We start from the raw sequence: 15,524 nt of genomic DNA on the forward strand, positions 1-15,524 counted from the left end.
GACAAAATTATTTAAAGTCAATACCTTTTTCTTCAAGGAATTTCACATCTTGTGATTCCTTCCCTGCTCATCAAGGTTACCTTAGTTTCTCTAAAGATTGAGTCAAGATTTATCTTCAAGATAGTGCTTTTCAAAAGAATTGATGCATAATCCACAGTTGTCCTGTCTGCCCACAGTTCTTTTATTTTGGTTCATTTTATCTCCACTTGAATATGGACATACTGATGCCACTTTCAAAAATTCTCTACATTTTAAAAAATAAATGGCTCTCAATTTCTGACATCCTCTCTAAACCCAAATGAGTTCAAATCATATTTGTTCATAAGTTGTCACACTGAAGAATAGCATGGGATATACCACTACCTTCAAATCCAGACATTATGTCCTCAAGATAAAAGGCTTAACCAAAAAAAAAAAAAGTCCATCTCGATGTATTATGCCAACATGAAACTGGAATAGTAAATCAACATAGCTGAAAATTTCCCCATGTCGTATGCTTTTTATTTTTTATTTTTGTTATTTATTTGTTTTTTGAGACAGATTCTCACTGTGTCACCCAGGCTGGAGTGCAGTGGCATGATCATGGCTTACTGCAGCCTCAACCTCCTGGGCTCAGGCGATCCTTCCACCTCAGCCTACTGAGTAGCTGGGACTACAGGCACATGCCACCATGCCTGACTAATTTTTGTATTTTTTATAGAGGAGGTTTCATCTTGTTGCCCAGGCTGGTTTTATGCTTTTAAATGATCAGCTCTACAGGCTTGGAGCCAACCTTTATGGTTATCAATACCCCCATAACTTTAACCTGTCTTAGGTATCAGACTATTCCTTTTTTATTTTTTCCTTGCTCTGTCGCCCAGGCTGGAGAGCAGTGGTGTGATCACAGCTCACTGCAGCCTTGACCTCCTAAGCTCAGTTGATCCTCCCACCTCAGCCTTCTGAGTAGCTGGGATCACAGGTGTGTGCCACCATGGCTGGCTAATTTTTGCTTTTTTTGTAGAGACGAGGGTCTCACTATGTTACTCAGGCTGGTCTTGAACTCTTGGTCTCAAGCAATCCTCCCACTTGGCCTCCCGAAGTGCTGGGATTACAGGCACCAGCCAGCACACCTGGCCTAATACTCCTTCTTATATGTGTCAAAAATCATACTAAACAATTAGTTCTGGGTTGCAAATGAGGATTTGTTTTTTTGCGTCTGTCCATACATTTTTGTTAATATTTGTCCTCTTTTGGGAGTTTTAATTCCTTTATTCCTCAAACAGGTGCAACCCATAACAGACCTCCTGTATTAGTTATTTCCTTCTCCAACATTTCTCTTTCTTTTTTCCTTTTCTTGTGTTATTCATCAATTCCACCCCCAAAATCCAATGAATTGAGTTAGGCAGGGCACGTATTTGTGTGTGCATATAAGGAGATTGTGGCAAAGGTCATATATGATACTCCTTTTTTTTTTTTTTTTTTTTTTGAGACAGAATCTCGCTTTGTTGCCCAGGCTGGAGTGCAGTGGTGTGATCTCGGCTCACTGGAACCTCAGCCTCCCAGGTTCAAGTGATTCTCCTGCCTCAGCCTCCAGAGTAGCTGGGATTACAGGCATGCACCACCACGCCTGGCTAATTTTTGTATTTTTAGTAGAGATGGGGTTTTGCCATGTTGGCCAGGCTGGTCTCAAACTCCTGACCTCAGGTGATCCACCCTTCTCGGCCTCCCAAAGTGCTGGGATTACAGGTGTGAGCCACCACACCCGGCCATGATATTACTATTAAGCATACAAAACAAGTATGGAGTATACTCTTGTAGTGGATAAAAGGTATACAGACATAGAATACAGATCTCCTGCCCCCAGAGTTTATTATTACCTGGAAGAGGAGAAAATACATTTATAGAAATAATGTGTTGCAAGGAGGAAATTCTATAAAAGTGATACTGATAGAATGACATAGGCCTTCTGAAGAAGAAGAGAATCCTTCCTGCTTGGGAGGTAAGAATAAATTCAGGGTGAACTATTGCATTACGAATTTCTCATCTTGAGATTCTAATTAAGTTTAAAAAAAAAAAAACACACAACTAGCTCAGGCATGGTGGCTCACACCTGTAATCTCAGCATTTTGGGAAGCTGAGGCAGGAGGATCCCTTGAGCCCAGGAGTTCTGGCTGCAGTGAGCTATGATTGTGCCACTGCACTCCAGCCTGGGCAACAGAGCAACAGGCTGTTAAAACATCCTCTCTGTCACACACACACACACACACACACACACACACTACATAGAATGGAAGTTTTCTTCACTGGGGAGATCTTATACCTTACCAAAGGTTTTCAGTTGGGAGAATATTTTTTCAATAAACATAATAAAGTGGTATTAATAAGAAATGCACAGTATATGGACTATATATATATATATATTTAAGTTTTGTCAAGTTTTAATAAAATGGTTAAGAGTATCTGGTGTGGAAACAAACTCCTGAGTTTTAATTCTAATTCTACCACCTTCTGGCAATGTGACCGAGGGTAGATAACTGTTCAATATCTGCAAAATGCAGATTATTATAGATGTTGTTCTTCAGTTGTGAGCACTAGATGTGATAACAGTGCATTCAAAGCAGACTCGAAGGCCGGACTCGAAGGTGGTGGCTCACTCCTGTAATCCTAGCATTTTGGGAGGCTGAGGCGGGCTGATCGCTTGAACTTGGGAGTTGGAGACCAGCCTGGCTAACATGGCGAAACCACATCTCTACAAAAATACAAAGATTAGCTGAGTGCAGTGGCACGCACCTGTGGTTCCAGCTATTCAGGAGGCTGAGGTTGGGGGATTGCTTGAGTCTGGCAGACAGAGGTTGCAGTGAGCCAAGATCACACCACTGCAGTCCAGCCTGAGCAACAGAGCGAGTCTAAAAATAACAATAATACAGTTAAATTAAAAAATAAAGAAAAACCCAAAACAGACTCAAAGAGAAATGTTATTTTAGAGTCAATAAGAGTAGTAGCAGCAGGAATACAAAGACTTGAATAAAAAGCTAGAAGTTGCCAGATTTTTTGGTCTTCTAACTTATTAGAAAATACATTTGTTTGGATAAACATTGGAATAAATAAATACATTTTTTACTAAGTAGATACCTGTTAACTTTCTGCTGAAAATTCATGACAAGCCAATAAAATTCTGCACTGGAAAACAAACAAAAAGCAAACATAAAAGGGCTAACCAAACTCATTTTAAAAACATACATTCATATTTGCATGATAATGCATAAGAGCCAAACCAGTTTAATTCAAATTGCATAACAATTTCAATAAACATGATGTTTCATGTATATAAAATAAAATACATATTAATTGCCATTAGATGCCATTACTAGCTTACCCCATTATGTATTAAGTTCATATAACAAGTGTAAAACTTTTAGAGAAATCCACACTTTGACTTTCATCTTGGTTCTGTAAATAACAAGACTGCTATATAAACAGTTGTTTTGAATAAACATTAGAAATACACAACTTTCCGTACTGACATTTTTTCTAGAATTTTTGGCATAGTAAGTCATTATTTTATATCATAGCACAATAAAATAGTTTCTAAATAAGGCCTGAGGTTAATTTTCCCACCTTTGCATAGAAATTACATTCTATACTTGGTCATGCCGTTCTCTGTTGTGGAAGGTGAACTATGCTGTAAAACTAACAGGGTCTAGTTTAGTGAAAACCAGACAGGCTTCCTGGCCCACCTGTGCTGACTGTATAAAAGCATGTCCTAAGCTGAGAGCACAGATTACTCAATGGTTCATTCAGGCATAAGAACTCAGCAGCCACACTAGAGCAATATTTTGACATAGCCTAGAAAAGCACTGCCCTCTGTGGGTAGTTATAGAAGGGTTTGTTAGGACGTGTTGGAGCCAGATACTATGAACTCCCAAAGCTGATAGCCAGCTGAACTGATTGCCTCGTGTGTTTGCTTGGAAGAGACCAGCCACCTGGCCACATTTGCTCATTAGCATCTACAGTGAAATGAGTGCCACTAAGGCCCACATTCAACCCATGGTTGCAAGTGAAAAGAACCAATGCTCTTGGGTGAAACATCTTTTGTGTTCTCCAGGATGCTGGTGATGGCCCCTGGCTTGACTGGAAATTCATGATCCCCAGATAATTCAGAACATCTAAGCCACATAAAACTACCAACTATGTTGCTTGCAGGTATCATAGATGACCAGGCAGACTATCCTACCTGTGCCTAGGTGGTCTGCAAAAAATGTTGCCTTCACAGCAGTGATCGTGAGCCAGCCCACATTCATAGATTCATAGAAGTCTAAGTCCTGGCAAACGTAGCTGCTCTGTTTCTGAGTCAAGTACCTCTGTTTAGAATATCATAGCTTCAAACTAGGGTACACCATTCCCTCTGTACTGTCCACACTGTTCGTAAATAAGGGAATTTAAGGTTTGCCAGCATTATCTTGATTCATTTCAATTCATTTTATTCATTTATTTAACAAATGTTTATTAAGTGCCTACTATGTGCAAAGCACTGTACTAGGTGCTAAAGGTAGAGCAATGAACAAAACACACATCACACACACACACACACACACACACACACACACACAGAGTTTCAGTGGAGGAGGGAAAAAAATAAACAAGATAAAAAGTAAAGCATATGAAATGTTACCCCATGTGAAGGAGAAAAATAATTAAGTTGGCAAGAGAGATGCTGTGGTTTCAATGTCCCCCCAAATTCATGTGTTGAAACTTAATCTCCATTGTGGTAGTAGTGAGAAGTAGGGCCTTTTGGGAAGTGGTTAACTCATGAATGAATTAGCACCTTAGAAAAGGGCTGGAGGGAGCTAGCTGAGACCCTTTTGCTCTTCCTCTCTTCACCAGGTGAGGGCACAGCATTCATGTCCTGTTGCCCTTCCCCCCTCTGTCATGTGAGGATGTTGTTGCAAGAAGATGCTTTTACTGGAACAGACCCTCAAAGAAGCTGCCAGTGCTTTGATCTTGGACTTGCTCGCCTCCAGAACTGTGAGAAAAAAAAAATTCTATTATTTATAAATTACCCAGTCTGTGTTATTTTGCTCTTGCAGTACAAACCAGGCAGACCAACCTACCTGTGCCTAGGTGGTCCGCAAAAAAATGTAGCCTTCACAGCAGTGTTCGCAGAGCCAGCCCACATTCATGGATTCATAGAAGTCTAAGTCCTGGCAAACTGACAGAAGAGCTATGGCATTGGGAGAGTGGGAATCTAAATTTTAGATGAGATAGCTAAGGATACCTCAATTAAAATGTGACATTGTAGGCAAAGATTTCATGGCTAAGACTTCAGAAGCATAGACAACAAAAACAAAAATAGATAAATGGGACTCTACTAAGCTAAAAAGTTTCTGTACAGCAAATAAAACAATCAACAGAGTGAAAAGATAACCTGTTGAATGGGAGAAAATGTTTGCAAACTATTCATCCTACAAGGGACTAATATCCAGACTATACAAGGAACTGAAACAACTCAACAGTAAAAAAAAAAGCAAGTAATCCCATTAAAAATTGGGCAAAGGACATCAACAGACATTTCTCAAAAGAAGACATACAAATGGTCAACAGGCAAATTTTTTTAAAAAGTGCAACGTTACTAATCATCAGGGAAATGCAAATCAAACCCACAATGGCATATCATCTTTCCCCACTTAGAAAGGCTATTTTTTTTTAATTAATTTATTTTTTTGAGATGGAGTTTCGCTCTTGTTGCCCAGGCTGGAGTGCAATGGCACAATCTCAGCTCACTGCAACCTCCTCCTCCTGGGTTCAGGTGATTCTCCTGCCTCAGCCTCCCAAGTAGCTGGGATTACCAGCATGTGCCACCACACCCAGCTAATTTTTGTATTTTTGGTAGAGACGGGGTTTCTCCATGTTGGTCAGGCTGGTCTCAAACTCCCAACCTCAGGTGATCCACCTGCCTCAGCCTCCCAAAGTGCTGGGATTACAGGTGTGAGCCACCGCACCCAGCCATAGAATGGCTATTATTAAAAAGACAAAGAAATAACAGATATTGGTGAGGATGCAAAGAGCAAACTCTTACACACTGTTAGTGAAAATGTAAATTAGTACAGCCACTATGGAAAACGGTATGGAGGCTTCTCAAAAAAATAAAAACCTGAACCACCATAGGACCCGGCAATCCTACTGCTGGACATTTATCCTAAGGAAAAGAAATCAGTATATCAGAGAGATACCTGCATTCATGTTTATTGCAGCAGTATTCACAAAAGCAAAGATATGGAATCAACTAAGTGATCATCGTCAGGTGAATGGATAAATAAAATGTAATATATATACACAATGTAATACTTTTCAACCATAAAAAATTAAAATCATGTCATTTGCCTCCAACATGGCTGGAACTGGAGGTCATTATGTTAAGTGAAGTAAGTCAGACACAGAAAGACAAATTTTTCATGTTTTCACCCATATATGGAAGCTAAAAAAGTTGATCTCATGGATGTAGAGGACAGAATGGTAGATACCAGAGGCTGGGAAGGTTGTATGAGTTGAGGGGAGGGGACGAAGAGAGGTTGGTCAATGGGTACAGCTGATAGAAGGTGTAAGTTCTAGTATTAGATAGCAGAGTAGGATGATAATATTAATAGTTATCAACAACTTATTGTATATTTCAGAGTAACTAGAAGAGAGGCTGGGCACAGTGGCTCATGCCTGTAATCTCAACACTTTGGAAGGCTGAGGCAGGCAGATCACTTGAGGTCAGGAGTTCAAGACCAGTCTGGCCAACATGGTGAAATCCTGTCTCTAAAAAAAAAATGCAAAATTAGCCAGGCATGGTGGCAGGCACCTGTAATCCCAGCTACTCGGGAGGCTGAAGCAGGAGAAGCACTTAAACCCTGGAGACTGAGGTTGCGGTAAGCTGAGATCGCTGCCACTGCATTCTAGCCTGGGTGACAGAGCGGGACCCCATCTCAAAAAACAAAATGAAACAAAACAAAAAACCTGTAGCTAGAAGAGAAAACTTGAGATGTTTCTAACACATAGAAATGATAAATACTCAATGTGATGGGTACCCCCAAATACCCTGACTTGATCGTAACACATTTGCTGCAACAAAATATCACATGTACCCTGAAAATATGTAAAATATTATGTATACATTTTAAAAATGTGACTTTGGAGTTGAAACTTGAAGAAGATGAGGAAGCCAGCTGTGTGAATTTCAAGCCAGCCAGCTGTCTTTTCTGGCAGGGAGAATAGTAAGTGCAAAGGCCCTGAGGAGGGTGCATGTCCATTTTGTTCTGAGAACAACAAGCAGGGCAGAGGAAGTGGGAAAGAGTGACTGATGGAAAGAATGAGAATGAGGTCAGAGAGGTAATGAAGTGAGGGCAATACAGGGCTTTGTATCAGACCCCATTAGAGCTGCACCTTACATGCTATCAGCCATCCTTTAACTCCAGCTACTGCTTAGGCAATTAGCAGCACAGATGTAATCCCACAGCACCTCTTCTGATGGCTATTTATCTCTTGCTCCTTCCCCACTGTGGCATGGAACACTTGCATGAACCCCTTAGCCCTGTGCATGCCAGGAATCCTTATGGGGTATGGGAGCAAATGGATAATTACATCCTTCTTCTATCCTTTGCAGGACCATTCTGAGGGAATACAGAGATAGCTTGTTGAGATTCCTCAGAGGGACCCAGCTCCAATTTTGCCCATTGTGGAGGTCAGCTCAATAACACACACTTGGATTTCCTTTCCTTCCTTCCTTGTTTCACTTTTCAAACAGTCTTCATTTGGGGAATCATTTTTAACCATAAACTACCTGCACACAGCCCTATACCAGGCTCTACTTTGGGTGGGGAGGAAACCAGAGCTAAGACAACTAGTAGATCATAGTAAGAACTTTGGCTTTTTTTTTTCTTTTTTTCTTTTCTTTTCTTCTCTTTTCCTTTCCCCTTCCTTCCTTCCTTCCTTCCTTCCTTCCTTCCTTCCTTCCTTCCTTCCTTCCTTCCTTTTCTTTCTTTTCTTTTTGGCAGTGTCTCACTCTGTCACCCAGGCTGGGGTGCAGTGGTGCCATCTGGGCTTACTGCAACCTTCATCTCACGGCTTCAAGAGATTCTCCTGCCTCAGCCTCCCAAGAAGCTGGGATTACAGGAGTGCACCACCACGCCCAGCTAATTTTTGTGTTTTTAGTAGAGGCAGCGTTTCGCCATGTTGGCCAGGCTGGTCTCAAACTCCTGGCCTCAAGTGATTCACCCACCTCGGCCTCCCAAAGTACTGGGATTACAGGTATGAGCCACCATGCCCGGCCAGAACTTCAGCTTTTACTCAAAGTGAGATGGGAGCCACTGGAGAATATTTGAGCAGAGACGTAAGGTGATCTGACTTCTACTTGAAAAGGATCACTCACTCTCACCTGCTGGGTTGAGGACAGACTGCCTTAGAAATGGCACAGTCAGGGGGACAAGTTAAGCTACTGCAATAATCCAAGTAAGAGATGATGATGTCCTGGACTAAGATGGTGGCTGTGGAGGTGGTGATCAAAGTTAACTTCTGAATAAATGTTGAAGGTGGAGCCTATGGATTTGCTCATGAATTGGATGTGGGTTAGTACCATAGACAAAATGTGTTCCCTAGTTTCCAATTCATATGCTGCAACCCTAACCCCCCAGTGTGATGGTATAAGGAGGCAGGGCCTTTGAAAAGTAATTACATCATGATAGTGGAGTCTTCATGAATGGGATTAGTGCTTTTACACAGAACTCTGAAATGGTCAGAGTTCTTTCCTTTTGCCATGTGAGGACACAAGGAGAAGATGGTTGTCTACGAGCCAGAAAGTGGCCCTCACTAGACACAGAATCTGCCAGCACCTCAATCTTGGACTTCCCAACTTTCAGAAGAAATATTAACAAATGTCTATTGTTGAAGCCCTGCAGCCTATGGTATTTTGTTATAGCAGCCTGAGCAGAATAAAACACTCTATATTCTCAAGATCCACTTTGGAATTTTATTTTATTTTATGAAATGAGATAAGATGAAATGAGACAGGGTCTCACTCTGTTGCCCAGGCTGGAGTACAGTGGCACCATCTCACCTCACTGTAGCCTCTGCCTCTCAGATTCAAGCTCCCATCTCAGCCTCCCAAGTAGTTGAGACTACAGGCATGCACCACCACACCCTGCTAAGCTTTTGTTTATTTTGTGGGGCACAAGGTCTCACCATGTTGCCCAGGCTAGTCTTGAACTCCTGAGCTCAAACGATCTGCCCTGGGCCCTCCTCTCCTCAAAATAGTGCTGGGTTTACAGGTGTGAGCCACCACACCCGGCCCACTTTGCAATTTTAATGATAGTTTTTCTTCTCCTACAGACCCAAAGTTTTCAATATAAAATTCAAATTGCGGTGTCTAAAATTCAATTTGGTACTAGAGAGGTCAATCAAAATCACAAGTACAGTGAAAAGGCTTCACAGCAGTCCTTCCTACGTGTATGTTTTCTCCAAATGTAAGATGTACCTGGAAAGAAAATCTCACTATGTTGGAAAAGCCTATGCCCTTGCCAACAGAAATAATTTTTAAGCCAAACATGTATTAGCACAAAAGCAGGCAATCTCTATTCCAAAGGAAGGTTGCAACACTCCTTTTCTTTGTACAACAGATGTGTGCCAGCCTTTAGGTTATAGAATGGTTAAACAATCTTTCTCCCAAACTACTGCTGACGGATCACTGACTAATCAAAGAAGAAATGCTTCCTCCAAGTTAGAGTGATTATTTCACTCTAACTTAAGGGTTATAACTATAGGGACATAGAACAGGTAAGTCCAAAGAACAGAGCTGTATGACTCAGGAGCCTTTGCGTATTTTTCACAATAATAAGTTATGGTATCTATTTATTGTATTACTATATTGGTAATATTGGTATTTATTGTATATATTATTTATTGTATATGTTATTCATTGTATACATTATTATATTGGTAATATTGGTATTTATTATATATTATTTATTATATATAATATACAATTATTGTATACAATATATTGTGTATATTATTGTATATTATATATTGTATATATTTATTGTAGATATTATTATCAGTAGTATTTACTGTATTGTTATATTGGTTATGCTAATCTGAACAAGCAGATCCATGAGTCTGCAATACTTACACACTTGTTAAAGTGTCTGAATGTTAAATGAAGTTGCATTGATTGCCTATATTTGTGTTTCAGCAGCCCAAGTACCTGAGAAAAATGCCTCTTAACTCTAACAAAAATTTTTTACACATAAATCAAATCTGAACATGACATTATTATTTTTTTTTAATTTTTATTGAGACAGAGTCTTGCTCTGTCACCCAGACTGGAGTGCAGTGGCGTGATTTTGGCTCACTGCAACCTCCACCTCCCAGGCTCAAGCAATTCTCATGCCTCAGCCTCCTGAGTAGCTAGGATTACAGGCATGCCTCACCACACTCCACTAAATGACTTAATTTTCAATTTAAATATTGTAGAACTCAGTTTAGCTATCTGTTGGATTAAATGTCAGGCACACTGGCCAGGCGTGGTGGCTGATGCCTGAAATCCCAACACTTTGGGAGGCTGAGGCGGGCGGATCACCTGAGGTCGGGAGTTCTAGACCAGCCTGACCAACATGGAGAAAACCTGTCTCTACTAAAAATACAAAATTAGCTGGGCATGGTAGTGCACGCCTGTAATCCCAGCTACTCAGGAGGCTGAGGCAGGAGAATCACTTGAGCCCGGGAGGCAGAGGTTGCAGTGAGCAGAGTTTGCGCCATTGCACTCCAGTCTGGGCAACAAGAGCGAAACTCCATCTCAAAAAAAAAAATAAATAAGTCAGGCACATCCTTAATTTACTAGATCAGCCTTCACATCTGTAATTGAAGTAATAATCTCTTTGTTAATGTTATCTATAAGGCAAGGGAATACTTTGACTTAATTAAAAAGAAAATGTCTGTGAATGAGTATATCTTCTCAGAAAAAGCTTCCTTGCTTACGCTGCAATCAAATCAAAGAAACACTGAGTTTGTCAGTAAAACCCAATAGAGAACATATTTGTAATTTAAAAATGGTTATAATTGTACAAATGATCATTATGTAATTAAGCAATATGAGTTCAGCACATTTGCCCTGATGGAAAAAAAAATAGCTTTTCTTTTTTTTTTTTTTTTGAGATGGATTCTCACTCTGTCACCCAGGCTGGAGTGCAGTGGCGCAGTCTTGGCTCACTGCAACCTCCGCCTCCCAGGTTCAAGCAGTTCTCCTGCCTCAGCCTCCTGAGTAGCTGGGATTACAGGCGCGTGCCACCACACCCAGCTAATTTTTGTATTTTTAGTAGAGATGGGGTTTCACCATGTTGGCCAGGCTGGTCTTGAACTCCTGACCTCAAGTGATCCTCCAACCTCGACCTCCCAAAGTGCTGGGATTATAGGCTTGAGCCACCGCACCCTGTCAAAAATAAGTTTTCTGATACCAAAACAATCTCTGGTTTTATCCAGCCCTATGACCTTAGGAATTTTCCTAACTGATGTTTGCTTCAGTTTATTCTTATCTTAGATGGGTAATTCATTAAGTGTAAAATATTTAAAGGTAATTTTAATACACAAAGTTTTTAATTTTTTGTTTCTGTTTATTTTGATAATTCTCTAGAAAGCCCGAGTTTCCCTGTTCTTCTCTTAGCCCTGCCAGCAGCCAGCTTTCTGATTTGGGGCAAATTATTTAACCTTGGATACTTTCATCTATAAAATGTGAGGACTGATCTTCATCTATAAATTGTGAAGACTGATTTGTACTATTTGGTTGAAATCTAATTTCTGTGATTATTTGCTTTTTTTATTATTATTTATTTTATGTTTATTTATTTTATTTTTTTGAGACATCTGTCATCCAGGCTGGAGTGCAGTGGCACGATCTCAGCTCACCGCAACCTCCGCCTCCCCAGTTCAAGTGGTCCTCATGCCTCAGCCAGCCTCCCAAGTACCTGGGATTACAGGCATGTGCCACTACGCCCAGCGAATTTTTGTATTTTTTGTAGAGACGAGGTTTCTTCATGTTGGCCTGGCTGGTCTCAAACTCCTAGACTCAAGTGATAACCTGCCTCGGCCTCTCAAAGTCCTGGGATTACAGGTGTGAGCCACCGTGCCTGGCCTATTTGCTTTATTTAAAGATTATCATTTGTTTTCCAAAAATTAAAGATCTTGTATATATTAAATTGATCTTTTATTTTTATGTATCGAGTTTCTTTCTTTCTCTCCTTCCCTCCCTCCCTTCCTTCCTTTTCTCTCTTTCCTTCTTTCCTTCTTTCTTTCTTTTCTTTCTTTCTCTTTCTCTTCTCTTTCTTTCCTTTCTTTCTTTCTCTCTTTCTTTCTTTCTTTCTTTCTCTCTTTCTTTTTCTTTCTTTCCTTCCCCTCCCTTCCTCCTTCCTTCCTTCCTCTCTTTCTTTCTTTCTTTCTTTCTTTCTTTCTTTCTTTCTTTCTTTCTTTCTTCCTTTCTTCCTTCTCTCTCTCTTTCTTTCTCTCTTTTTCTCTCTTTCTGTCTTTATAAAAAGACAGGGTCTTGCTCTGTCACCCAGGTTGAAATGCCATGGTATAATCATGGTTCACTGTAGTCTTCACCTCCAGAGATCAAGACATTCTCCCACTGCAGCATCCTGAGTAGCTGGGACCACAGGCACGTGCCACCATGCCCTGCTAATTTTTTTTTTTTTTTGGGTTGGGGGACGGAGTTTCGCTCTTGTTGCCCAGGCTGGATTCCGATGGCGCGATCTCGGCTCACCACAACCTCCACCTTCCGGGTTGAAGCAATTCTCCTGCCTCAGCCTCCCAAGTAGCTGGGATTACAGGCTTCTGCCACCACGCCTGGCTAATTTTGTATTTTTAGTAGAGACAGGGTTTCTCCATGTTGGTCAGGCTGGTCTCAAACTCCCGACCTCAGGTGATCTGCCTGCCTTGGCCTCCCAAAGTGCTGGGATTACAGGTGTGAGCCACAGTGCCCGGCCTTCCAGCTAATTTTTTAATTTTTTGTAGAGATGGGGACTTGTCATTGTGGCCAGGCTGTGTATTGAGTTCTAAAATCTATAAAGTTAGAACAACAGTGAAAGACTTCTTTTGTCATATGGTGAACCCCAACATTGGGGTTCAGCCTGGGAGGCTGCATGGGTTCTTGGCTTTGCATAGAATGGAATTCAAGAGTGAGCTTATGAAATAAAGTGAAAGCAAGTTTATTAGGAAAGTAAAGGAATAAAAGGGTGGCTAATCTATAGGCAGAGCAACCCTGAAGGCTGCTGGTTGGCTATTTTTATGATTATTTCTTGATCATATGCTAAACTAGGGGTGGATTTTTCATGACTTTTCCAGGAAAGGGGTGGGGAATTCCTAGAACTGAGGGTCCCTCCCCTTCAGACCATGTGGGGTAACTTCTGGATGTTGTCATGGCATTTGTAAGCTGTCTTGGGGCTGGTGGGAGTTTCCTTTAGTAGGCTAATATATTATAATTAGCATATAATGAGCAGTGAGGACGACCAGAGGTTGCTTTCATTGCCATCTGGGTTTTGGCTGCCTTCTTTACCGCATCCTGTTTTATCAGCAGGGCTTTCGTGACCTGTACTTTGTGAAACCAGTCTTGCTGAACTCCTTTCTTACTTTGAAATGGACAAAGAGTACTGAGTGTCCTGTCTAGAACACCCTTTGGGCTATCTCCACCTTTCATTGTCTTTGAGCTATTTTATAACTCCGTAAGATATAAAATACAGATAGTGATACAAATGATTCTTATCTGCAGAAATGCAAATTGTGTTCACTGATATGCAATTGAACATTGCCTTTGGATATTAACTTGTTTTACATTTACATTTATTTATTCACTCCAGCATTCCTAATACCTATACATGTGTAGTCTTTGAATTCTCCTTTGACTCAGTTCTAACATCTTATTCATTGCCTTATTAATTAATAAGTTAAATAAAATCTTGCACGTGTTCATTTTATGTTTGTATTTGAGTCATGATTTTAACCTTTCTAAAAAGTATCCTTTATGTACACATAATCTGGGAGGAAAAGAAAAAATTATCCTTTTTTTTTTTTTTTTTGAGACAAGATATTGCTCTGTCACCCAGGCTGGAGTGCAGTGGCATGATCATGGCTCACTGCAACCTCCACCTCCTGGGCTCAAGCAATCCTCCCACCTCAGCCTCCAGAGTAGCTGGGACCACAGACACATGCCACTACATTTGGCTAATGTTTGTATTTTTTGTAGAGACAAAGTTTTAGCCATGTTGCCCAGGCTGGTCTTGAACTCCTTGGCTCAAAGGATCCCCTACCTCGGCCTCCCAAAGTGCTGGGATTACAGGTATGAACCACTGCACCCAGCCAGAAATTATCCTAAAATTTACCCAAAACAGATTACTGTAAGGATGAAATAAGATGACACGTAATAATCACTTATAGCACACTGCCTGAGACATAATGATAGAATTATTATTTGTATTTAATCTACTGACCAAATGAGCTTTCATTCTGGTTAACAAGTATCATCTTCACAGCTTTCTTTTCTTTCTTTCTCTCTCTTTCTTGCTTTCTTTTCTCTCTTTCTTTCTTTCTTTCCTTTTTCTTTCTCTCTTTCTCTTTCTCTTTTTCTCTCTCTTTCTCTCTTTATAAAAAGACAGGGTCTTGCTCTGTCACCCAGGCTGAGATGCAGTGGTGTAATCGTGGTTCACTGTAGCCTTCACCTCCAGGGATCAAACCAGAATTAAAAATACAATAACATAAAAGATTTAGCTGAGATGGTTTAAAAATAGTGAAGACCACAGTAGACTTAAGAGAAAGACTTACATTTCATTAAAATACATATATTGTGTTATCAATGTTCAAGTATTGATATCTCACTTAAAACCATGTTTTGATTTCATATTAAATGCTTTTGAAATCCGCAAAGGGGCTAGCAGAGATTTATTACTACCTGAAGTGCCTAGGGGTGCAGAGGCTCAGGAAAAACTCCTGGAAATATATGCAGTGGAGTTTGAAGGGAACCATCTTCCCACTGTTCACAGTTCTCTCACTTACAGAGATCACTCACTTGTTGCAGATTAATTAATAATATGGCTTTTGTCACCATGGGGGGAAATATAAGGGGAAAGGGCAAATAAGAGTCAAAGTAAGGGAGTAAAAATTAACTTCCAGGCTAGGTGCGATGGCTCACACCTGTAATCCCAGCACTTTGGAAGGCCTGGGCAGGCGAATTGCTTGAGCTCAGGAGGTTGAGACTAGCCTAGGCAACATGGCAAAACTCACCAAAATTTAAAAAAAATTAGCTGGGCATGGTGGCACACACCTGAAGTCCCAGCTACTCAGGAGGCTGAGGTGGGAGGATCACCTGAGCCCCGGAGTTTGAGGCTGCAGTGAGCCGTGATTGTGCCACTGCACTCTAGCCTGGAAGACAGAGTGAGACCCTGGCTCAAAATAAATAAATAAATAGATATAAAAATAATTGTCCAACTGTCATATTTTTTAAAAGTCTCCAAGCCTAACTTATC

At 40.7% G+C, this 15,524-nt stretch overlaps 2 long non-coding RNA genes and 1 pseudogene across 2 annotated transcripts in view; 1 reads left to right on the forward strand and 2 right to left on the reverse strand.

The window, feature by feature from the left end:
• The window catches only part of LOC105371878 (uncharacterized), a 27,118-nt gene extending 22,173 nt beyond the window's left edge, over nt 1–4,945 (forward strand). Inside the window, exon 4 of the long non-coding RNA XR_934949.2 lies at nt 4,864–4,945. This is a non-coding gene — a long non-coding RNA (uncharacterized LOC105371878). The remainder of the gene's footprint in view (nt 1–4,863) is intronic.
• Nucleotides 1,117–1,267, reverse strand: LOC124900401 (uncharacterized; annotated as a pseudogene).
• Nucleotides 4,913–8,913, reverse strand: LOC105371879 (uncharacterized). Its single transcript, XR_934950.3, has 3 exons — nt 8,396–8,913; nt 5,091–5,200; nt 4,913–5,002 (listed from the first exon to the last, which is right to left on the reverse strand). It is a non-coding gene; the product is annotated as an uncharacterized LOC105371879 (long non-coding RNA).
• Nucleotides 8,914–15,524: the final 6,611 nt, after the last annotated feature.

This window comes from Homo sapiens, chromosome 17 (assembly GCF_000001405.40).
Source record: "Homo sapiens chromosome 17, GRCh38.p14 Primary Assembly".
In the NCBI taxonomy this organism is placed as follows: domain Eukaryota; kingdom Metazoa; phylum Chordata; class Mammalia; order Primates; family Hominidae; genus Homo; species Homo sapiens.